Source organism: Homo sapiens, chromosome 7 (genome assembly GCF_000001405.40).
Source record: "Homo sapiens chromosome 7, GRCh38.p14 Primary Assembly".
NCBI classification, from domain to species: Eukaryota; Metazoa; Chordata; class Mammalia; order Primates; family Hominidae; genus Homo; species Homo sapiens.
Genome location: NC_000007.14, coordinates 36191897 through 36217751, shown reverse-complemented (window position 1 = coordinate 36217751; position 25855 = coordinate 36191897). Strand labels below are relative to the sequence as shown.

General features: G+C 46.6%; 1 protein-coding gene across 1 annotated transcript in view, besides 2 other annotated features; it reads right to left on the bottom strand.

The window, feature by feature from the left end:
- Positions 1 to 25855, bottom strand: part of EEPD1 (endonuclease/exonuclease/phosphatase family domain containing 1) — a 148285-nt gene that overhangs the window by 83787 nt on the left and 38643 nt on the right. The gene's annotated exons all lie outside the window — the stretch shown is intronic.
- Positions 1505 to 2340: an enhancer, noted in NCBI's record as "OCT4-NANOG-H3K27ac-H3K4me1 hESC enhancer chr7:36255021-36255856 (GRCh37/hg19 assembly coordinates)". NCBI's record gives its function as "activates a minimal SCP1, AML or CMV promoter by ChIP-STARR-seq in primed H9 embryonic stem cells {active_cell/tissue: H9 hESC(primed)}" and the evidence as "EXISTENCE:reporter gene assay evidence [ECO:0000049][PMID:30033119]".
- Positions 2341 to 3178: an enhancer, noted in NCBI's record as "OCT4-NANOG-H3K27ac-H3K4me1 hESC enhancer chr7:36254183-36255020 (GRCh37/hg19 assembly coordinates)". NCBI's record gives its function as "activates a minimal SCP1, AML or CMV promoter by ChIP-STARR-seq in primed H9 embryonic stem cells {active_cell/tissue: H9 hESC(primed)}" and the evidence as "EXISTENCE:reporter gene assay evidence [ECO:0000049][PMID:30033119]".

Below are 25855 nucleotides of genomic sequence, written 5' to 3'. Positions count from 1 at the left end.
TCTCCCTGTAACACAAACCAGCCAGTTAGGTTCTCTGGGCAGGGAGTTGTTTACAATAGCAATTATAAGAGCACATTTCACAGGAATCTTTTGGTTATTTGTTTTAAAAGTTATCAGAGGCATTTGAACCAGAACAACTCCATCTTGAATAGGGGCTGGGTAAAATAAGGCTGAGACCTACTAGGCTGTATTCCCAGGAGGTTAGGCATTCTAAGTCACAGGATAAGATAGGAGGTTGCCCCAAGATACAGGTCATGAAGACCTTGCTGATAAAAGAGGCTGCAGTAAAGAAGCTGGCCCAACCCTACCAAAACCAAGATGGTGATGAAAGTGACCGCGGGTCATCCTCACTACTCGTTACACACTAATTATAATGCATTAGCATGCTAAAAGACACTCTCGCCAGTGCCATGACAGTTTGTAAGTGACAGTTTATAGGAAGTTACCCTACATGGTCTAAAAAGGGGAGGTACCCTCAGTTCCAGGAATTGCCCACCTCTTTCCCTGAAAACTCATGAAAAATCCTCCCCTTGTTTAGCACATAATCAAGAAATAACCATAAATATGGGCAACCAGTGGCCCATGCCGCTGCTCTGCCTATGGAGTAGCCATTCTTTATTCCTTTACTTTCCTAACAAACTTGTTTTCACTTTACTCCATGGACTTGCCCCAAATTCTTTCTTGTGCAAGATCCAAGAACTCACTCTTGGGGTCTGGATTGGGACCCCTTTCCACTAACAAAAGCAGTCATTTATAAAGCATATAGTTATGGCAGAAAAGTTTTAAAATACAGAAAAAAGTAAAGGAAACATCAGCTATAATTCTGCTACCTAGGAATTACCATTAAGGTCTTGATATGTATCCTTCTAGACCTTTAAAATATGAATGTATACATTTAATAAAATGGGAATCATATTGTATGTGCTGTTGTCTGTTATTTTAAGTTGCCACCAAGTAATGTTGTAAATTACTGTCATTATTATTCATTGTCATATGACCTCATGTCATTAAGTATTATTTGACATAATTTTAATGGAGATATATACACATATATAGATACATGCTATAATTTAATAAGTCTTTTTGAACATTTAAACATCAAGGCCATTTCACATTTTTCGCTTTGGTGAAAAACTTTGAACTCTGCACAACTTTAATTGTTTCAAACAATACCTTCCCAGGTGTGCCAGGTCAAGAGCTGTGTGCATTTTTAAGGTGTGTAATAACTTTTGCAAAATTGCTTTGCAGATTTACAATTCCACTAGCAGTTGCACAATCCACTCCCTTGCTCTGGGTAATTTTGAAAATCCTTACCAATCCAATAGGTGGAAAAGGTGTTATTACGCAGTTTAAATTTACATTTACTTGAGCACTAAAGAGACTGAAGATTTTACTGACGATTGCCAATTGTTTCCTCAGAACCAGTGAGCAATGGTGACAGGAGGGGAACAGTTCCAGGGAACTGTCTCCACCACTGTGAGTCACATGGAAAGGTCCTCTAAGCTCAGCAGCCTTGTGCGGGGCAGTCAATAAACAACTTAGCTGAGCTTTGGAACCTCTTCTCTCCTTCCTCTCCTTTGATAATTGGATATACTTCTCTGGATAAACTAGAATACTATGTATAGGATTTTTAGATTCCCAAATCTAACTACTATCAATATTTTGCCCCAAAGGTTTTATATGGGGGCCCACCAGCTGTAATAAGCATGATTAAAGCCCACTCACTGGAGAGAGAGGGAAAAAAAGGTATTTGAAAAGATTTACCCATTGGCTCAAAATCATATGGGTAAACTAGACCCAGGAGGAGGTAGGGCTCCCATCCTCTCTTTGTCTTTGGCTAAAAAGGAAGACTTACCCACAGAAGTGTACAAAATGTAAAAGAATTTAGTTGTATTGGACACATGCCTGCAGTCTGCAGGGAGGCCCAGAGATTTTCCAGAAGGGGAGCAGGGTCTCCCAGAGATACTGCAGGCACTTGCCTGCTCTCACCTCCCACCCAGAAACAGCCCTAACATCAGGGGAAGGGGACCAGCCCTTACTCCCCAAGGATCTAACCACAACGCTGCACTCAACAGTGCAGAACAGACTGGCACAAAAATCCCAGGCAGCAATGGCCCCAACACATGGTGCCTACAGGCTTTGAGAATGCAAGTGGGCATCCCTCTTCAGGGACAAATGGGCACTTATTCTGCATTGAGAGCTTTGGCTGGCTGTGAAATTTCAAACCTGGTTTCTGGAATCAGCTTCCGGATGTGTGGGGATCTGGTTGGCCTCTAGATATCTGTGCATCTGCATTACAAAGAGGAAAACGTTCCACCTACCTCTCCAGCAATTAACATCTGCTGCTGGATGTCCATACTGAGAGCTGCAGTTAAAAGGTTGGGCCCCTTAAAAGCAGCAGCAGCAGCCCCCAGCCCCGCCAAATCGGCTTTCATCTCCTGGGGAACAGGAGGGTGCATTTAGGGGCTTGATGACCCCGCATGGCGCCAAGGCGCCTACTGCCCTGGTGCAGCGCTGCGGGGTGCAGAGTCACAGGGAGGGCAGCAGCGGGTGGGCTCGGCTCGTGTCTGGTTATCGTTAAGCAACAGCATCTCACCCGTGTCTTCAAAGCTATGGGTCCCAGACGCCACTGCTATGAATTCCAGCTGCTATGCATGAAACCCTATCCTCCAGCCTGCAATTGAGGCCCCTCTGGTCCCTCATAGTCTACAATTTAAAATACCAAATTCAGGGGGGCCCAGGAGCTCCTCACTGGCTCAGAACCTCATGTGCAGATCAGAGTCAAGCCTGGAAAGCTGCCTGGGATCCCAGCAGAAACTGCTGACCCCGTAATACCGAGTGGCTGCATGACAGGGGCCTCTAATTATACCAGCTTGATTCTCTCCGCTCAGGGAATTCCAAAGGAGGTTCTGAGTGGAGTCAACTTCAAAAGCACTTCCAAGAAGGCGGCGGGAAGAAACATCCATTCCTGCTGGGAAGCTCCTGCGTCAATGTCAGCCAGCGCTAGTTAGGTTGCAACAACTGCTGGCTTGTATTTCTGGAGTAAGATAAAGGTTCTCCATGTTTAGTGAACATCACCCGGGAATGTTCCTAAAACACACGGCTGGGCCCCAGCCCCAGACTTTCCTACTTAAGTCTCTCTGAGGTAGGGCCTGAGAATTTGCATTTCCAACAAGTTCCCAGGAGAGGCAGATGCGACCAGACTGAATGGGATATAAGACCAAATTAAGATGCCACTTTGACGAAGACTACACCACAGCCAACTTTACACAGAATCACTGATGATCTCCCTGACCAGACCTGTTGATGAGGAGCCACAGCACGCTCTGGGGGATAGCCAGTGGCTTTGTGGGGGTGCAAGATGGGACAGCCCAACATTATCTCTCAAATAGGACAGCTACTTCCTGTGGATGCTGTCTGAAAAACCAAATGTCAGCCCAGTGGACCCAGAGCCATGATGTCAGTTTACTATGTGAACTTCTTTCCTTCTTCCATATTTGTCCCATCCTCTTTGCTGTCCTGCCCACTCTGAAGAGCTTCTACGGCTTTTCCCAAGACCAGTGAACCCACCTGTGCTCTGGACAGAATCGATCCATTCCTTTCCCCCAGGACCTGCCTCCATCCCTACTCTAAGACAGCTTGCTCTTTCTAGATCTTTCCAGAGCCCATCTTTCTTGATCTCTCATCATTGGCACTGGTGTCTGCTGTCTCCTTGAAACTCTTCTCTCAAAACTCTCCTGGACCACCAACATCTTCTCTGAATTCTTATCCATCCTATGGATCCCCCCTTATCCATCACTTCCCAGGTTTGGCTGCCACATGCTTTCATTCACTCAGCCTCCCAGAAAACCTGTGTCAAGCACTGCTGTAGACAACAGTGATGAACAGAGGACAAGACAGACCCTGCCCTGCCCTTGCTCTTGTGGAGCCGACAATCCGGGGGGGTACACGCCCACCAATCAATTTCATGACAAACATGTCAGACCCTCCAAATGACAAGCATAGGATGCTGAGCCTACATGTGATGGGGTAAGGGGTAGTTAAGGCTGTGGGCAGGAAAGGTCTTGTGAGTGGAGTCACACTGAAGCAGTGTCTGGAGTTAGAGCTGGCCTGACGCTTCCTTTGCCAGGGCCTTCAATGTTGGTGAACTCAAGGACCTGTCTTCTGTGCTCTTTCCGACCTCCTCTATGCCACTCCTGGGCAATCACGTTTTCTCCCTCACAATGACCACCAATAATCTGAACAATATTTCTGTCCAATCCTCGCTTTGCTTCTGAACTCCAACTCTGTCTTTTCAACATCTGTTGGGCCTCTAACTACAGTGCCTCGCAGGAACTTCAAACTCAACATGGTAAATGAGACTTTCCAAGCAAATTGCACCACATCCCTTTTCCCCATCTCAGACACCATCAGACCAAGCCCGAGTCACACTATTCTTGAACGCCCCCATTCCCCACTTCATCCACCACATCTAAAAAGCCACCAGTGCCAGTTAATTCCATCCACTCAACCACCTCCTGAATGTGTCATAATATATTAGGTTAGCTTCTCCATATCCAGAGCCATGCTTTCTATTTATTTATTTATTTTTATTTTTTGGAGTTGGAATCTTGCTGTGTTGCCCATGCTGGAGTGCAGTGGTACGATCTGGGCTCACTGCAACCTCCGCCTCGCAGGTACAAGCCATTCTCCTGCCTCAGCCTCCCAAGTAGCTGGGATTACAGGCGTATGCCACCATACCTGGCTAATTTTTGTATTTTTAGTAGAGACAGGGTTTCATCATGTTGGCCAGGCTGGTCTTGAACTCTTAACCTCAGGCGATCTGCCTGCCTTGGCCTCCCAAAGTGCTGGGATTATAGGCGTGAGCCACCTCACCCGGCCACAGCCATGCTTTCTTAAGGTATACTTTTGTTAATGATGATAAAATATATGCTTGTTATAGGAAATTTTGAAAATACAAATAATAAATTTAAAATAACCACTGTTTACATACTGGTATATTCCTACATGTACATGTGTCTTTGTGTCTTATATTTAGAAACTGCAATCATATCATGAATACATACGGTAGATGGTTACACAGTGGCCCCCTAGTACTCACCTCTTGTGTAGTCGGCTCCCACTGAGTCTGGGCTTGGCCATGTGACTTCCTTTGGCCAATGGGACATTAGCAAGCATGATGCAAACAGAGGTTAAGAACCACTACATTAAATAACCTTAAAAAATATTTTTAATGGTTATATTGTATTCTGGTGTATATGTACTATAATTTACTGTTTCCTCTATTGCTGGGTATTTAATTTTTTCACATTTTTCTGACTTATGATTAATGAATATCTTTGCATATATATGGGATGCATTTCTGACGATCTCCTTAAGCTGGATTTCCAGAGGTGGACCTATTGGGTCAAAAGATTTGTACATAGTTAAGCCTCTTCAAACTGTGTGACAGAAAAGCTATTTCTAGCTACACTCCCCCCAGCAATTTAGAAATGTATCTTTCTTAACACAGTCCCCACTGGGTTACTTCATAGAGGAAAACTGACATCTCATTTTACTTTGCATTTGTTTGATTACCCGTAAGTTAAACATTTCCCCTATAGCTACTTGGCTGCATGTATTTCTTCTGTGCAGGTTCTATATCTTTCCTTTGGCTAATTTTTCTATTGAGATATAAATGACCTTCCCTTTAGATTTATGTAAGTAATTTCTATATTACAGGCTTTAAACATTTTTTTCTGTCACTTGAGGCAATTTTTCTACATTAACTTTACATTTTGTTTCTAATGCTTGTGATACACAAAAGTTAATTTTTTTTTTTTTTTTGAGATGGAGTCTCGCTCTTGTTGCCCAGGCTGGAATGCAGTGGCGCAATCTTGGCTCACTGCAACCTCCACCTCCCGGGTTCAAGCTATTTTCCTGCCTCAGCCTCCTGAGTAGCTGGGTTTACAGGCGCTTGCCACCACGCCTGGCTAATTTTTGTACTTTTAGTAGAGACAGGGTTTCGCCATGTTCGCCAAGCTGGTCTCAAACTCCTGACCTCAGTTGATCCGCACGCCTTGGCCTCCCAAAGTGCTGGGATTACGGGTGTGAGCCACCACGCCCAGCCACAAAAGGTAATTTTTAAAAGTAGTCGAACCCACTGCTCTTTCTTCTTTCTGATTTTTTTCTCAGGGTTTTGTGCTTAAAAAGACAACCCTTCCCTAGAAAAGAAGATACCCTCATATATTTTCTTAGTTTTTCTTAGAATTTGAAATGTCTAGTTGGAATTTATTCTGATAAATGTTGTGAGGAGAGGATCTAATTTTTTTTCATCGGTCATTTACTAAATTATCCTTCTTGTCTCCCTACTAATTTGTGCCGCTGCTTCACCATCTATTAAATTCTCATAAATGCTAGGGTTGGCTCTGGAGTTATTATGCTGTTCCTTTAATCTGTATCTCTACTCAGACACCAATTGCTATTTTAACACTGCGCATGTATAGCATGTTTTACTATCATGCTATTCATTCAACAGTTATTTACCATGCCACAGAATGTGCCAGGTATAGTTCTGGGCACCGAAGGGCACCGAAGATACTGCCAGTGAACCAGGCAAGGCGCTTCTGTCTTGCTTCCCTTTCTGGTGTGGGGTGAATGAAGGTTGAACAAGCAACAACATCTGTTGACTCTGTGTGACAGGCTCGTGAGGCTCTTTTCATGTCACATTACAACAGCCCTATGACATAGACACTGTTATTCCCATTACATAGATGAGGAAAACTGATGCCTAGATGGGCACACAGCAGTAAGGGGTGAAGCCAGATGCAAATGCAGGCAGCTCAGGTCAGAGCCTATGCTCTGAGCCACCACACTATAAATAAAGTGTGTAATTCAGATGAAAATAGAGGAGAAGAAATGACAGGAACAAGTGTTAGGAGATGGGGTGGTCAGGGAAGGCTTCCTGGAGAAGCCATTTGAGCAGAGGCCACAAGAACATCACAAGAACAAGTGAGTCATGAGAAAGGAAAAGGTCTACGCGGAGGCAGCAGCAAATGCGCAGGTGGGAAGAAGCTTGATGTTTTCTAGGAGGAGAGGGAAGGCAGGACAGCTGGAGCTGGGAGAGCAAGAGAGTGAGGGAGGAGGTGTCAAAGGCCAGCCAGGCAGGCCACACAGGTCCCAGGGAAGGGCTCAGGTTTATTCTAATAGCCGCAGGATGACAGAAGCAGCCAGGATTTGATTCATGTTTTAAAAAGACAGCTCTGGAAGGTATGCAGGGAACAAGCTGAAGGAGACATCATTATCCTCTTTCATGAAAAAAAATCCTCTCGCTATTTTCAGCTGTCATTCTTTCAGAGGAATCTTAGAACTATTTTGTTGTGTTCCTAAAAATTCCATGGGGATTTCATTGGACTCATATTAAATACCCTTTGCATTGGTTTAGAAGAACTGTCATCTTTATGAAATGTAGTCTTCTCCACCAAGGAATCTGGTTTATTTTTCCTTTTATTCAAATCACTCAAAAAACCCATCAGTAACAAGTTTGAAATTTTCTTTACAAACACTCAACCTGTATTTCTGGGCCCTTATTATCACTTTCCTGCTCTGTTACAACAATTAACTCTTAAAACTGGGGTCCTGCCTTCCCTCCACTTCCCCTACCCACCCACCACCTCATCTCCAGCTGCCTGTCTGCTTTGGAAACCCTCGCTGCCTGCAGGAAGTCCAAACCTGCCTCAACGTCCTCTCCATCCTCCCCCGAGACCTCCTCCACCCTCTAAGGGAGCTTTTCCTCCCTCTGCACTGGCTGGACTCAGTCATCTCCACAGCCAACCAGCACGAGGTGCCTGATATAGTTTGGATGTTTGCCCCCCAACAAATCTCGTGCTGAAATGTGATCCCTAATGTTGGAGGTGGTGTCTATTGGGATATGTGTCTTATATCCCATATACAGAAATGGGATAGTTTCCATATCTGTATTTGGGTCATGCAGGTGGATCTCTCATGAATGGCTTGGTACTCTTCCCACAGTAATGAGTGAGTTCTTGCTCTGGTAGTTCACGCGAGATCTGCCCAGAAACCACATGCAGTCTCCTGATAATTGGCCCTAAACATGTGCAGCCAAACATGTGCAGCCCACATGACTCCTCTGGCCCGCGGTATTCAGTAGTGGCTCTTAATAGCCTCCCATTAAAACCCAGCTACAGGAAAGGATCAGAAATTCACACTAAGTTGACTGGCAAAAACCAGCATCAGCAGAGGAGGGCACATCACACCCCTGCACACCCACGACAGACATCTCTCATCAATAACGGCACACGTGTATATGCCTAGCTCAGGCTTGGCTCTACAATCCTCCTCACAGGGCACCAGGTGGCCCCTACTACAGAAACAGAGCCGGCAATGAGAAAGGAAACCACCTTGCTAGCCTTGACCTATAGAATAACCTACTTTTTTTGTTTTTGTTTTTGCAGAATTAGACACCTGAATCACTAACTGAGTTAGGTTGCTAAGAGACAGTGAGTATAAAATAATGAGTAAACAGCCTTGAAGTTAAACAGACATGGGATCAAAGCTAGTGAGTTACAGCAAGCACTTATGGTATGCTTACCACATGCCCAGTACCATGGCTGGTTTTAACATACATTGCTTAATGTAATCCCACACAACCCCATTGTTATTACCCCCACTTCATAGATGAGAACACTGAGGCACAGAAATGGTTGCACAACTTGTCGAAGGCCAAACACCTGAGGCCTGAGACCAGTCTAGCTCCAGGTCTGCGCTCTACCTCTCCAGGAGAGGTTCCCAAGCTTTAGCGTGCACGGGGATCACCCAGGAGCTTGTTAAACCACAGACTGCTGGACCCCGTTTGAATCCTCATTTCATAGACCATGGGCAGGGCCTGAGAATCTGCATTCCTAACAAGTTCCCAGGTGACGCAGATGCTGCTGTCTGGGAACCACCCTTGAAGCATCACTGCCTCTAATGAGGATATGCTTAGTTGTGTGGAACTCACAGGAATACACAGGAAAAGTACTTAGTACAGTTCCTGTTACAGCATAGAGGACCCACAAGTATTCTTTCTCTTCCCTCTAAACCAAGTGTGTCTCAGGCATCAGCCAACAGAGGGATAGGGGGCCCATCTGCCTTCCTGTTTCTCAAACTCTACCAGACTCCCTGCCTCCAGCATCAGGCACCACTGCTGACCACTCAATTCCAGTGACACAGCACACCCCCAATGCCCAACCACTGAGTATTAAACCACTCTCCACCACACTGTTCCAATGCATCAGCATGGAGACAACTGTCAAAGCCACTGGGCCTGAATTGCATCCACAGCCAAACACTGTGAGGTACACATGCTTAATTCTGCACTTCTAAATGTTAACATCTAAACTGTGCAAATGCTGCTTACTCTTTGTAAAGGGCTGCTGTGAAGCAAATGAGGGAGGGGGAATACAGGATCCAGTTTATTTTTAGCATGAAGTCCTCCTGGTTTGAAAATTTGTCAGTTGAGCAGGCTGCCTGTGCCTCTGGCCCCAGTAAGCCTGCCTACCCCACCCCCATCCAGTCACACAGGAACCAGCATCCCTGCCACCGCAGCCCAGGGTCTCCACTGAACTCAAGTAACCTGGTCCTGTTGGCCCAGGCCCAGGCAGACAGCTCATTTGGGTCACTAGGATTCACACTTCAAAAGGAGGAACACGCTGATGAGATAAAAATAAAAACTGCTGAGTACAGAGGAGGCACCGTTCCTGGAGGGCCGCAGGCTTCAGACTGGCACTGTCTCTGTTCTGCCCTAGTGGTGGCCAATGGCCTGTGTGAACAAAGGCAAGAGACTGGCTCCCTGTCTAGGTTAAAAAAAAAAAAAAAAAAAAAAACTCCTGCACTGAGATTCCAGACAAGCAGCCAGTTCACCTGGGGTTCAAAATCTCCAGGAAATGGTGACTCTTCTTCTAAGACTCGAGGATTACTAAAGTAGAAACACTTTATAAACAGACTTCAAGCACACATCCTTACTGAACTTTAGCATGATGACACAGCAGAATTGTATTCAAAATATTCTGCAGATTTCAAAACCAAAAATGGTAGCTGCACGCAGGAAAGGACCCTGGAATTGAGGTCACCTGATCGAGCAGGTTCTAGGGCTGGAACCCTTCCCACGCTTATCCCCGTCCTAAAGACCTTGCATAAAGAACCACCTTTTCAAGATGAATTGTTGCTTGAGGACTGACCAGCTCAAACTCCTGGGTTCCAGCCCCATCTCCTGTGAACACGTGGTAGGATTTCAAGTAGGTGGCCTAACCTGTCTGGGGTCTAAAATGGACATACCAGGGTCAGAAGTTCTGCCCCAAATGGACTATGTTCAGAACGTGCAGTGCTCCTTCCACCCTCACTTATCTGCCCAGCACAGAGCTCCTCATTCTGTATTTTTCTAATCAAATATCCCTCCTTTGAAGAACATCCCCTGATATCATGGGCAGATTAAAGGTTTCTCATGTGTTGCCGAGCTGCACTCATATTCCCACTACCATTCGAACCACGCTGACATCATGATTTGTTTTCCTCTTCCACTAGAATCCAAACTCTAGGAATGCAGGAGTTGTATGCAAATTAGGGCCTAGCACCTGGCAGACCCTCAATAAATTTTTGCCAAAAGAATGATATCTGCCTGCCTCCCTCATAGAGTTTTTTTTGTTGTTGTTTTTGTTTTTGTTTTTGAGACAGAGTCTCACTCTGTTGCCCAGGCTGGAGTACAGTGGCACGATCTCAGCTCACTGCAACCTCCACTTCCCAGGTTCAAGCAATTCTTCTGCCTCAGCCTCCCGAATAGCTGGGATTACAGGTGCACGCCACCACACCTGGCTAATGTTTATATTTTTGGTAGAGACGGTGTTTCACCATGTTGGCCTGGCTGGTCTCAAACTGCTGGCCTCAGCTGATTCGACTGCCTCAGCCTCCCAAAGTGCTGGGATTATAGGCATGAGCCACTGTGCTCAGCCTCCTCATAGAGTTTTTAGGTGCACAGGAAAACATACCAAAGTGTCCTGTAACTGGAAGGGCCTGTGAAAATGTAAATAATTCTTATTACCTATAACTTATGAAGGTGTAATGCTTTTGTTTTTAATGGCAGATGAATATTAGGAGGACTCTACATGAGATGCAAGGATTTCATGGGCCCAGACAGCATCCTTGCAGCTTTCCAGCCCCACTCTGTAAGGTGCTGAGTGTATGGCTTCTAGTGCTGGTGTCCAATATGGCAGCCATAAGCCACATGTGGCCACTGGGCACCTGAAATACGGCAGATCTGAGTTGAGATGTTGAAGAGTACACAAAAAGAATGTAAAACATTTCCTTAATAGTTTTCATATTGATTATGTGCATAAGTGTTAATATTTTAGATATACTAGATTAAATAAAAAATATTAAAATGACTGTTGTCTGTTTCTTCTTGCCTTTTTAAAAGAAAATTTAAAATTGCATATGTGGCTCACATTGCACACAGCCCCATGGCTGACAGTCCACTGAGAACTGTTCTCTCTGACCTAGCCCTGGAGCCCAAGGAGATTCGCTCATTTCTTGGGATTATTACGATAAAATCCTATGTCTCGGCTAGTGTTTCTGGTCAGGGATTTAGCCCTGTTATCACTCAATCTTCAATCAAGCCCTTTGAACCAGGAAAGCTTCTGTGGGTGGGGCTGGGGCAGTCTGGCTGGCATGGGGCAGTGGCCTACATGTCATCTGGGGCCTGAATGCACACAGGGCCGGTGTGTGAATGGAAGACACAGCGCCCTCAATTCCGCCTGTCCTGCAGCCTGAGCTCATTGTACTTGGCAGATTCCTGTCCTTATTTAGGTCAGTGCCCCCATTACCCCAGAGTCTGAGAGAGAGTTTCTATGGGGTTTTGTCTGTGCCACTCTCTGCTATCCTTGACTCCACTTTGCAGAAAACTCCACTTTGCTGAGGCAGTCACACTTTAAAAATAGCCAGAGACCTGGTTTATGCTTGCTACTCACTCCCCACCTCGCTGCTCACTTTGGGAATTTCTTACCATTTTCAAAAGTTAAATACATAATTAAAAATCCAATGCCATTTCACGTGGGGAAAAATCACATTCTATGCTTTTAACCTGCTCAGTTTTCCAGATCATCACTTAGCACCACGCTTTTACCCCTCCAGATGCAGCGCTGGGACCCAAAACCTGCAGGCTGCATGGGCAAGAACACATGAAACCTTTGCAAAGCTCCAGAGAGGCCAGAAATACTTTACAGGCCACTCCCTTCTCTCCCACCTAAAATGTGGGCCATATCTTTCTCACTGCAAAATCATCACGTTGCAATGACTTAGGGATGATACAATGTGTAAGGAGATGAATCTTTGAAAAGCCTAGAGCAAAACTGTTTCCTTACATTGTTTGTCTATTAAATGATTCTATTTATACAAATAATACATGACTACACTCTCACTGCAAAGAAAAACCCAATAATACAGAAGCGAGTAAGGGACAAAAAGTCTCACATCACTGCCACCTCCAGAACCTCCTTCCGGCTTTTGTTTCTCATGGAATGTGATGCCTGTTTGTGTTGTCTCTATCCTGGTGACCCCCCTCCCTGTCCATCTCACACCTCCCTGAGGGCCAGGTCTCTGAACACACCAACTCCTTCCCTGCTAAAAGTCAGCGTGGTTGACAGTGGGGGAGTGGGAATGAACTGGATACACAGGCCAGTGGTGAGAACAGAAATGAGCCTGGACCATGTCCCTGGCTTTATGCACAGCTAAGCTTTAGCCCTGTCTTATAAGGATTCCAAGATGGTCTTTTCCACCAGTTCCTAGAAGGCAGTGGCCATAATTTATTCATTTCTACATCTCAGTATCAAGCCCAGGATCTCATACCCAGGAAGTCATTAACAGACATCTGCCACACTATCCTAAGGCTCTTTTTTTAAAAAACAAACAAACAAACAAAAACACTGTCACATAGTAATTTCTAGCCACTTCAGAAACTCCGGGAGGCCTTCCGGAATATAGAGGGGGAAGAGGTGCACCCAGGAAGGTGGCAGCTCCAGGCTCTGCAGCCCAGGTGAGCCCGGTCTGTCTGCTAGGCTTAGGGTACCTGCAGGCTTCACTCTGCTGGGATCCTCCTCATCTGTCCCAGGGGCAACTGCAAAAAACTTGGAGGGCCCCTAAATCACATTGGGGCACCCTAAGGGAAGGTCAGTGTCTCACTTAGGTGGGCAGACAACCCACACCCACACAGCCTAATGAGTTTCCTGTAAAAGGGTTTGGCATAGGGCACGGCTCACAGCAAGTCCTACACAAAAGTCCCTCCTCCTTCTCCTCCTCCTCCTCATCATCATTGCTGCTGTTCTTAGATAAATTATTATGCCTTCATCCAATGCAGCCATTGTAAATGCTACTTAAAAGGGCATTTATGGCTGGGCACAGTGGCTCCCAACTATAATCCCAGTGCTTTGGGACGCTGAGGTGGGAGGATCGCTTGAGGCCAGGAGTTTGAGACCAGCCTGGGCAACATAGTGAGACCCTCTCTCCACAAAATTTTTTTTTAATTGGCTGGGTGTGGTGGTGCATGCCTGTAGTCCCAGTTACTCAGAGGGCTGAGATGGGAGGATAACTTGAGTCCAGGGGGTCAAGGCTGCAGTGAACTGTGATCGCGTCACTGCACTCTAGCCTGGGCCACAGAGTAAGGCTCTGTGTCTAAAAAAAAAAAAAGAAAAAGAAAAAAGAAAGAAAGAAAGGGCATTTGACATAGGAAAAGACTGAAATGTTATTGGGTAAAAAAAAAAAAAAGTGGTTTATAAAATTATACATCAGCGTGATCTCCATTCTGTACAAATAAACATTTATTCATGAGCACCGGAGCTAGAGACTGGAAGTACATTTGCTGAGGCACTAACAGCAGCTATTCTGAGTGGTAGTATTTATGGGTGATTCTTTGTCATTATTTTTGCTTTTCTGAATCCACTAAATTTTAACAGTAAATAAACTGTATTCTCTTTATGACACTTTTTCTAACTAAAAAGTGAGAGAATGGCAACTTTCGGCCCACTGCCTAATTTTCATTATACCAATTGGTTGGTTTCTTTTAGCTCCTGCAGACAAGGGTCTGGGGTCTATTTTTATTGCCGTGTTCCTATCCTGCTGCAGATAATGATCACTCCCACAAGGCAGCCTTTAAAAATGACAATGCAGTCTTTCCATAACAGCTAATTACCTTTGAGCCTTTCAGCTGAGTCTAAGAGAGAACTGGGTTTTAAAAACACCAGCCTCTCCTGCACTGGAATCCTGAGGAAGAAAGGATAAACTAAACCGGGCAGGTGTTAATTTAGAGTTTCTGGTGGTTTTCCGCTTTCCCTTGCTTATCTGTTAGAAAGGGAGGGGGAAAGGAAAGAAAATGAACACAAAACAGGAATGGCGACTGCATGGTGTGGGTGTGACCTGCGGTGCCTTTCTGAGCTACTTCCCTTCTGTGTGCAGCCCACTCCCAGAATGCCCTGAACCCAGGCGAAATCCCACACTTCAAAGTTACTGTGTGCCTCCTGCACACTGGCATGGCCCTGCCACGAGGAGCAGCACTGTCATGAGCACCACTTACCATGCAAAAAGGGGGCATTCTGACCCTGCATCTCCAGGCACAAAATTCTTCCCTCTTTGGGAGCCAGAGACCCAAACCCAGAACCCAACACTTATCCCTGACATGTCAAGAGTGGCCACCAGCACATCCCGCCTCACCTGATTAATCCAGGGCAAGGACACAGATGCTGGAAGGAGCCTGCAGGGCCATGACCTCCGCCCTGCCTGTAAGAAGCCGTTGGTTTGACTGTCCTGCTTCAGATGCCAGGCAGGAGCTGGGATCAGTACAGCACACGGTTCAAAAGCTGGGCTCCAAACTCAAGAGAATTCTGGGTTCAAATCCCAGCTCCACGTATAAGCTACATGACCTTGGGCCACATTAGCCTTTGTAAGGTCCAGTGTTCAGGGCCATAAAATGGGGCTAGTGGCGGTTTCACCTTGCAGGGTCATGGTGAAGATTAAACAACGAGAAACATAAAGCACATGGCTTGGTTCTCACGGACACCGAGTCATTCAAGAAACGTTAGCTTAGATTAAAATACAGCCTATTCAGTACCTGAATCAAGCTGAGAATTATTCAGTCTTGCCACAAGCCTCTTATCATTTAAAAGCAATCTGTACAGTTCATTTCCTGTGGACACCCTCGCAGAGCCTGGATGCCAGCTCCAACACCCTCAGAACCAGGCTACAGTCCTGGTTGTGAGTTGCTCTGGCAGCAAAAGTTTACCGTGTGGAGGCCCCAGGCATGCTTCACCCCGGCTAGCGAACAGGATGAGAAACCCAAGTCCCTGCAGAAAATAAGCAGCACCCCCAGGCAAGATCCTGGCCAGGAAACCCCATACAGAGGTCCTGGCTGAAATTCTAGGCTGTCAGCAGGATCTCAGGCCCCTGAAATGTCTGGGGAGAGAACTCCACACAAGGGCCTGACAGGGAATGATGCATGTCCTGCAGATTTTTCTAACCCATCTTCACATTTCTCAGTTCTCACACTGACTCCTATTCAGCCTCCACTGTGGAGGCACACGATGAGAAGGCAAGCTGTTCTTTCACCTGGGAATCAACCTCTATGACAAGTCCTCGAGTGGAGAAAGTCTCAAGCTTGAATCATGAACCACCCAGGAATCTTGCACACGTGCAGTCTTGAGTCTGTGGGTGGGGCCCGAGATTCTGCATTTCCAACAAGCTCTCAGATGATGCTGATGCTGCTGGTCCAGGGACCACACTGCGAACTGCAGGCAGGTCAGGTAGAACCCTTTGAATGATAATTCTATGGGAAGCCAGAACTCACAAAAAGACAGCTGAGGCAGGATGCAGGGCTCAATTTTACCTCAGGCTCCATCCAGCAAGAAACAGAGAAAGTTTCTCATCTCAGATTTCTAGACCTTGGGAGTAAATGCACCTGCAGGCTTTGTTTGAAAACACCATCCAAGAGGGTGCATGGTGAGGGTTGGCAGAGATAAGGGACAGGTCAGGGGAAAGGCTGGAAAGAAGGAAAGAAGAGGAGTTGATGGTTTACAGCTGGGGAGGCAAGGCAGTAGGAAGGGAGTATCACCTACTGTGAACCAAACACAGCACCTCATTTATCCTTGCAGTAACACCAGGAGGCGGGCAGTTCATCCCCGGTTGCAGATCAGGAAACAGAAGCTCAGCCAGGTAATGGGACCTGCCCCGAGTCACTCAGCTGATAGTCATCAGAAACAAGTTTCGAACCTAGTCCAGACCTTTCCTGCTCCCACACCTGAGTGCTTTTCTCCATGCCCTGGTGCAGAGAAGTTGCTGGGAATCTTCACCCAGCTTCTCCCAAAGTTAACCTCCTACAAAACATAGTACATTATCAAAATCAGGAACCTAATGGTGATGCAATACTATGAACTACTCTATAACTTATATTCACATTTTGCCATTTGTCCACAAATGTTCTTTTTTGGGTCCAGGGTCCCAACAGCGTATTTAGTTGCCATCTCTCCTTGTCTCCTCCAATCTGGGGCTGTTTCTCAGTCTGTCTTCCATAACTTCAGAATATTTTAAGAGTACTGGTCAGTTATTTGTAGACTGCCTCTCAGATTTGGCGTGTTGGTTGTTTCTTTGTGATTAAATTCTGATTATGCATTTTTGGCAAAAATACCACAGACATAAGATTTTACTCTTCTTGGGCATCCTATCAAGAGATACAGGATGACAGGTATGTCCCATTACAGGTGATGTTAACTCAGGTCATCTGGTTTAGGTGGTATCTATTAGATATCTCCAATGGAAAGTTGCTGTTTGCCCCTTTGTGATGAATAAGCATCTTGCAGAAAGAAACTTTGAGATTATCCAAGCAAGTGGTTCTGGTGCATGCTCATGTTTGAGAGCTACTGCTGGGCTCGTGGAGCAATGAGCAGGGACAGGAGATGAGATACTTGGTGACGGGTTTTTTAACGTGGAGCCGGCAACCACAACCTCTAGCAAGAATCCAGTCTGAGAAATGTAATCTCAGTGATGACCAGAATAAAAAAGCAGAAACCAAACAAACCCTCCATGTTAACCTCCCAAAAGGAATGTTCTGAAGGACAAATCTAACATCCCACAATGTCCTTGAGAGAAAACTGGAATGTGAAGCTAATGATTCCCTGAAAGTAAGTTCTTCTTTTTAGAATTGGCCTCTTAGCTTAAGCAAAATTATGCATGCTTAAAGCAATGTGATGCAGGAGAAAATACCCATAAATCTTAGAAAAGAACAGGAAGAATTCAAGATTTATAGGGTAATAAATAACAGCTATCCTTAAAGTCATGTAATCAACTTAAATGTCCATCAATGGCAGATTGAATAAAGAAAAATGTGGTACATATACACCACGGAATACTATGCAGCCATAAGAAAATAAGATCATGTCCTTGGCAGAAACACAGACGGAACTGGCGGCCATCATCCTTAGTAAACTAACACAGGAACAGAAAACCAAATACCACATGTTCTCACTTATAAGTGGAAGATAAATGATGAGAACACAGACACAAAGAGGGGAACAACACACACTAGGGGTTTACTTGAGGATGGAGAGTGGGAGGAGGGAGAAGATCAGAAAAAAAAAAAACTATTGGGTACTACCAGGCTTAGTACCTGGGTGACGAAATAATCTGTACAACAAACCCCCATGACATGAGTTTACCTATATAACAAACCTGCACATGTACCCCTGAACCTAAAATAAAAGTTAAAAAAATAGCTATTCTTTATAAATGCCTACATAGGGCCAGGTGTCCCACGGAGCGTGCATTAGGGTTGGTCTTCGGGACAATCCCATTCAACAGGTTGGAGGGGGAGCTCACGACAGTCCATAGGTGCTTTTCCCAACCTGCACCCACAGGCCTTCTGTTCTGGTACTCACGGTGCACGACCCCCAGGGAAGCACTCCCCACCTCCCTCACTGTTGGGAACCACCATAGCTTTTGAAGGTAGTCTGCCCAGTGTCTCAGCAAGGGGTAAAGCAAGAGGTCTTACCCCCATTTTAGGGTCGAAGCAGCTGAGACTCAGAGAGGATGCTGTCACTCAGTCAGAAGAGGGAAAAGGGTTCCTGAAGTCAGGCAGTCTGTGCTCCCCACCCACTGTTGACCTCAAGGCTCTGCAGAGCTGGCCCAGGCTGCCCAGGGAGCCCAAGAAAAAAGTCCTGGGAGTTTCAGATGTCATGACTGCTAACCCAGGACATGAGGCCTCATTCCCAAAAAATGCCATGCTCCTGCCACCCACACCTGCCCTCTCTCAGCAAGTCCTCATCCTCCCCACTTCTCAGGCCATGCCAATAATCAGGCAAGTTAAAATTCTAAAGGGGGGGCAGGTAATGAGCTTTCCATAATGAAAATTTAAAATCTCTCTTCCCAAAAAATTCTTATCACCAAGACAGTCCCTACCCTGGAAAACTGTGTCAACTCAGTTTCCTGATACCCAAAGGAGAAACTGCTTGTGAGGGCCACCTTGATAAATAGATGGGTCTGAGTCACTCTGTGCTGGGTATTCTGCGGTGGCAAGACACCACAATTTCTGAGAACTTCCTTTGGATTTCCCGGAAAGCAAAAGAGCTCCCAGATTCCAGTGGAAGAATGTGTGCATGCAAAATGTGTGCCTCCTGCTTGGACTGGCTGGGTAAGTGTGAAATTGAGGGCCTGTGGGCAATGTTTAGGGTGCTCTGCCTTAGAGAAGGAGAAGAAGAGGCTCTTTCTGGTTCTCCTCGGTGGTCCACCCCTCCCTGTAGAGGGCTGTCTGCATATCTAGAAGAGCACCTCCTCCCACCAGCTGCACTGCTCAGGCCACAGCACAGCAGTCAATCGGGCCCCCCAAGACAGGTGGTAGCAGGAGAAGGCGGGCTTCACCAGAGTGACCGTGGCTGGCACACCCACAGAGATGGCTCTTGCTGAGGCCTCCTGGGAAGGAGACAAGGCCAAAGCAGTGATCAATCAGAAATTGTGTATTGACAGATGGGGTTCATTTCATCCCTACATACCAAGGAATATAGAATGTCTAATCATTTAAAACTTTCGATTTTCAGGGAAGAAGGACTTGACATTCCAGCACTGAAGTGCTTTGAGTCATGCGTGATGCCCCAAAGAGCGCCCTGCTCACCTAACACATCTTGTGAGCTTATTTATTTATTAATTGACAAATAAAAATTCTACAGTCACGTACCACATAATGACATCTCTGTCAATAATGGGCCATATATACAATGGTGGTCCTATGAGATTATAATGGAGCTAAAAGATTTCTTTTTTTTTTTTTTTTTTTGGTTTATTAAAGTTTTATTAACCAGTTTTGATTTAGTTTTTCAGGAAAATATCTTTCTTTTTTTTTTTTTTTTCTTTTCTTTTTTTTTTTTCTTAAGACCAGGTTGGGCCTACAGGAAATACAATAGGCTGATCACATAACTTAGTAAAACGTCCTGGCTTTGTCAAGTCCTAGATTTTTAACTATTTCAATCTCCCACACTGTTGCCCATTTTTCTCAAAACACACAAACTTTTCTTCAAAATTCTCATTATCAGATGTTTATGAAGACATAAATCTGATCAATTTTTCACTTTTCTCTTTCACTTTACTCTTACATCTGAAAGATATAATGCAAGAAAAATAATTTCTGCATTTTCACTTGACCTATAGTATCAAGGACAAATGGAAAAAGGTAGTATTGGAACAAACTGGTGACTACCTGTCCTGTTCAAAGTGTGTAGCAACTACTCAGCTCCATGGAAGAATGCTATTCTAGTATTGTTGAATTTTCCATATTTTTTTTTATTTTTTTATTTTTTTTTTTATTGATCATTCTTGGGTGTTTCTCGCAGAGGGGGATTTGGCAGGGTCATAAGACAATAGTGGAGGGAAGGTCAGCAGACAAACAAGTGAACAAAGGTCTCTGGTTTTCCTAGGCAGAGTGTTTGTGTCCCTGGGTACTTGAGATTAGGGAGTGGTGATGACTCTTAACGAGCATGCTGCCTTCAAGCATCTGTTTAACAAAGCACATCTTGCACCGCCCTTAATCCATTTAACCCTGAGTGGACACAGCACATGTTTCAGAGAGCACAGGGTTGGGGGTAAAGTCATAGATCAATAGGATCCCAAGGCAGAAGAATTTTTCTTAGTACAGAACAAAATGAAAAGTCTCCCATGTCTACCTCTTTCTACACAGACACGGCAACCATCCAATTTCTCAATCTTTTCCCCACCTTGCCCCCTTTTCTATTCCACAAAACTGCTATCGTCATCATGGCCCGTTCTCAATGAGCTGTTGGGTACACCTCCCAGACGGGGTGGTGGCCGGGCAGAGGGGCTCCTCACTTCCCAGTAGGGGCGGCCGGGCAGAGGCGCCCCTCACCTCCTGGACTGGGCGGCTGGCCGGGCGGGGGGCTGACCCCCCCACCTCCCTCCCGGACGGGGCGGCTGCCCGGGCGGGGGCCTGACCCCCCCACCTCCCTCCCGGACGGGGTGGCTGCCGGGCGGAGACGCTCCTCACTTCCCAGACGGGGTGGCAGCCGGGCGGAGGGGCTCCTCACTTCTCAGACGGGGCGGTTGCCAGGCGGAGGGTCTCCTCACTTCTCAGATGGGGCGGCCGGGCAGAGACGCTCCTCACCTCCCAGACGGGGTCGTGGCCGGGCCGAGGCGCTCCTCACATCCCAGACGGGGCGGCGGGGCAGAGGCGCTCCCCACATCTCAGACGATGGGGGGCCGGGCAGAGACGCTCCTCACTTCCTAGATGGGATGGCGGCCCGGAAGAGGCGCTCCTCACTTTCCAGACTGGGCAGCCAGGCAGAGGGGCTCCTCACATCCCAGACGATGGGCGGCCAGGCAGAGACGCTCCTCACTTCCCAGACGGGGTGGCGGCCGGGCAGAGGCTGCAATCTTCGCACTTTGGGGGGCCAAGGCAGGCGGCTGGGAGGTGGAGGCCGTAGCGAGCCGAGATCACGCCACTGCACTCCAGCCTGGGCACCATTGAGCACTGAGTTAACGAGACTCTGTCTGCAATCCCGGCACTTCGGGAGGCCGAGGCTGGCAGATCACTCGCGGCTAGGAGCTGGAGACCAGTCCGGCCAACACAGTGAAACCCCGTCCCCACCAAAGAAACAGGAAAACCAGTCAGGCGTGGCGGCGCGCGCCTGCAATCGCAGGCACTGGGCAGGCTGACGCAGGAGAATCAGGCAGGGAGGCTGCAGCGAGCCAAGATGGCAGCAGTACAGTCCAGCTTTGGCCCGGCATGAGAGGGAGACCATGGAAAGGAGAGGGAGAGGGAGATGGGAGAGGGAGAGGGAGAGGGAGATGGGAGAGGGAGACGGGAGACGAGCTGAAAGATTTCTATTGCCTAGTGATGTTGTCGTCATCCTAACATCACAGCAGTTACTTTAAAAAAAAAAATTTAGTGTAGCCTATGTGCACAGTGTTTATAAAATCTACAGGAGTGTACAGTAATGCTCTAGGCCTTCACATTCACTCGCCACTCACTCACTGACTCACCCAGAGCAACTCCAATCCTGCAAGCTCCATTCATGGTGCTATATATAGGTGTACCATTTTTATCTTTTATACAATATTTTTACTGTACCTTTTCTATGTTTAGCTAGATAGGTAAATCCTTACCATAGTGTTACAGTTATAATATTCAGTACAGTAACATGCTGTGCAGGTTTGCAGCTTAGGAGCAATAGGCCATACCATATATAGTCTAGGTGTGTAGTGGACTCTACAATCTGGGTTTGTGTAAATACACTCTAGGATGTTTGCACAATGAAGAAATCGCCTAAGGACACATTTTTCAGGACGTATCCCAGTTGTTAAGGCATGACTACATATATTTATGGTATACAACATAATGTTTTGAAATATCTATACATTGTGTTATGGTGAAATCAAATGAATTAATATGCACATCTCACATCCTTACCATTTTTTTTGTGATAAGAACACTTATAATCTACTCTCAGTAATTTTCAATTATAGAATACATTGTTATTCTCTACAGCCACCATGAAGTACAAGAGATCTCCTGAACTTATCCCTCCTATCTAACTGAAATTTTGTATCCTTTGACTGACATCTCCCCAATCCACTCCACCCTAGCCCCCACCCCAACTCTTTTAACCACCATTCTACTCTCTGCTTCTATAAGTTTAATTTTTTTAGATTCCACATATAAGCGAGATCAGTTCTTAAATAAAATTGCAAAATTGCTAGAAACTCAGTTTATAAAGGTGTCGGGCCTTCTCTGATGGCTTTCTCTACTTCTTTTATGAAGGGAAACTTTTATAGAGGAACCCACCTCTATACCATGGAGAGAGGCAGGCAGTGAGGCATTGCCACCACATCATTCCATCAGGGAGCCAGCCATCCATCCACTGGGCTGCTCTGCCCCCAGCACACTGGGTCAGGGAGGCAGGAGTCGCCTCATGTCTCCCATGAGTAAATCCCGCATGCTCCCCCTTCCCCACTTCAGGTCTCAGCATGTGTCTGGTCTCAATGAGCATCCCTCCAAGAAGCCTGTTCCCCTCCCACGTTACTAAGAGTTAACTGCTGGGGAACTCAGAAGGGCGCCCTGCCTCTCCTGTTGTCTGGGACCTTACCAGGTCCCTGCAGAGTGAGCACCCATGACACCTGATCACTACCAGAATACATGAATGAACAAAAGAGGATGTGGATCCAAGAGGGATGGGCTGGAAATTGGAGCTCTGTCTGGGGCATTAGGAAGGATTTCGCAGTTGCAAAGAGAAAGATTTTGGTAGCTTCCAGGTTTGTGAGTATTTGTGTCTAGTAGTTGGTAGATTAGGTGAGGACACATTCAATCACCATTGGAATCAACTAATTATTCCTGGCACACTCAGGGACATATGGATTTCTGATAAAGAAACTGATCCCTCCAAACTAAAGGTTAGGCAAATGAAGATGTGGAGGCCCAATGAAGAACCACCTGCTGCCTCTCCAACCACCTCCCATGGCAGAGCTCCATGATCAATTCCTTCGCTCTTCCGGGTCCAGCCCAGGCCTGGCCTGGGACTCCTCCTAGGTTGTAGAGTCACATCCATGGAAAGCCATATGGGGGGCTTTTTCCCATGAGTGTAAGATCTGAGATGAATGTTCACAAGTTCTAGGGGGATTTGATTCAGAAGACTTAGGTTCTGATACAAGGGAAATGCAGAGGTAACAAGCCTGGGAAGGAAGGGGGCAGGAGGAGGAACCAGGATGGGGAAGTCTTCTGTGCTGCCCCCACCTTAAAAGGAAACACACTCATCTTGGAGAGGGTCACAAGGAAGAGATGGAGTAGGATGCCAGAATTACTTTGGGGTAAAAATCACTAACTCAAATATCCTGCCTCAGGTTGAAACTGGAATTCAATCATTCACTCATTCATCCATTCATTCAAGGATTTCTTCCTCCAACATGTACTTATGGTGCCTGGACCTGGATCTGAAGCTAAAGCTGTTCCCACGGAAGCCCTCAGGGCCTGGGGGATGTGCCAAATGAGAGGACATTCACTGCAAGCAGCATACTACCAAATTCAGTACTGCAGACACCCACATCCTCTTCACCACATGGAACTGGAATTCTGCAGGTCCCTCTCAGATGGACTAGGTCTTCTTTTGGCCTCACAATAGAAGTAGCCATAGTTCTTCTGTGATGAAAAGAACGCAAAATATGGAGTTCAAAGACCACACAAAATAAACCCAGAACCGGCAAGTCCTGGGACTGGTGGGGACCTGCAGGGCTCTGAGGATGCAAATGGGGATAAGAGGCTCCTGAACTCTCAAGATGCTCACATTATGTCCACAGCCTAATTTTACTGTCATCTCTCCCACAGAATGGTGTCAGGGTCCCCCAGGCCCTCCCAGAGGGAGGTGGCAGCCATAAAGAGAGGGCACCAGGATGGGTGTGGCCGCTCTGCCGCTGGCCACCTGCTGACCACGGGACCTGACGGCCTGGGTTTCTGAATTCCTCTTGGAAACATAGCCCTAGGAACATTTTCTTGATCAAGACTGCCCCTCACTGAAGGCCAAACAATACTCGCAGTGTCCACAGGCAGGGCCATCTGAAGGCCGTGGTCCCTGGAGCTTTTCTAGACACAGGACTCTCCTAGGACAGGGGACCCAGCACCTCTGGGCAGCACTCCATCAAAACACAGAAGATACACCCAGAGCCCAGCCCTGGGTGCTTCCCATGGCCTCCCTCTGCCTCTGCCTTCAGGGGACCGCACTCCCCGGGGGACCTCCCAAGGCTGGCATGAAGTGGCTGTTCTCTCCTCATCTAGCTGCATCTCTCCTTTGTCCTCCTGTGTGGCATTCCCTCTGCTCTCTGGCCATACCTCATCCCGCCTTCATTCCTCCCCTCTCCAGGCTCCAGGCTTCTGCACACTCTCCCTCTCGGGAACTCTGCTCTCTGGGCCTCTTCTCCATCTAACTTCTGCTGGTTGGCACTTCCACCTTGGCATTCCTCATCAGTTCTTCTGGGACCCTTCCCTGCCATCCCACTCACCCCAAGATGTGGTGAGCATGCCTGCTGCCAATGTCCACGGAATCCTGTGCCCCCATCATGACGCACTGCTCTGTGCCCGGCTTGCCTCCCCCACTGGGCTGGGGGTTCTTCAGTGCAGACTAGCACCCAGCAGCTTCCAGCTGAGACCATCAGAAGACAGCAGTGAAGAGTCCAGCCCTGAGCTGCCCCTCGCTGCGCATCCCCACTCCAGTGACCAAGCCCCACCCAGGAAACCGACAGAGAAGGGATGCCCTGCACAGCCTTCCACCTGGTCCGGAGATCTGGCCACCACTCATCCTCATGGAGAACATGCAGCCCAACCAGGCTACTGGAGCCAAGGACAGAAGACAGAATGCTTCCCACTCGGATGCTCTGTGTTTCTTGATCCAGAAGGTCTCTAACCGCATTCACGAAAACAACATTTAGTTCTAGTCATGGTCCAAGGAGTACCATTTTTGTTACTTCTTAGATGTTAATCTCATTTTTAAAAAAAATGTAAGGGGAGCTGGGTTATATAATAGGCTATTTCATAACCCAGGTGTGTTGAGTAAGACACAGGCCTTCGCCGGGTAAATTTCTGCGACTTGAGTTACAGGTTGGCTCACTTTGTAACAATACTGCACACTTCTCTGACTGCTGTACTTTTCAATATGTATGTAATTGTTAATTTTTTTTTTTTAAAGAAAGAGAAAGAAGAAATACATGCACACAAAAATAGACAGTGTCACTGTCCTGGAAATTGGACACAAAGAAAGGTGTCTTCCCCAGAGAAGCAGGCAGACAGAACTCCCTGCCCCATCTGGGCATGCTAGTGTTCCCTCTGCTGTTGCTCAGAAACGCATCTGGTGGAGTTTTTCTCCTCAATTCACGTGATACAAGGAGTTTGCTGCATCTGTTCTTCTGCTTTCTTCCCTTTTAAAAATAATTTGTGGTTTGTGTGTTTTTACACAATACAGATTAGCTGGCTGTGGATGCGTCACTGCTCACACGCCATCACTTACGGTGTTTAAAAATAAAAATTGCATCTGCAATGCAAAGCTCATGTGCTCCTCTTTTAGAAAAGGGTGAAGGGCTTGGGTGCCCAGTGCCTTCTTTTAAATTCGACTCAGGCCTCTGTGTGCCTGTGCAGAGCACACAGATGAGACATTTTAACCTATGGGGTTTCGACAACGCGGAAAGAGTCTCGTAAAGACTCTTGTAAAGGCTTAGACTCTTCTAAAGAAGAGCCCCTAATCTTTACCTCCTGAAACTGCCCCTTCAAACTTAAGGGCATGTAGCAGGGGTCTCACAACAGTTT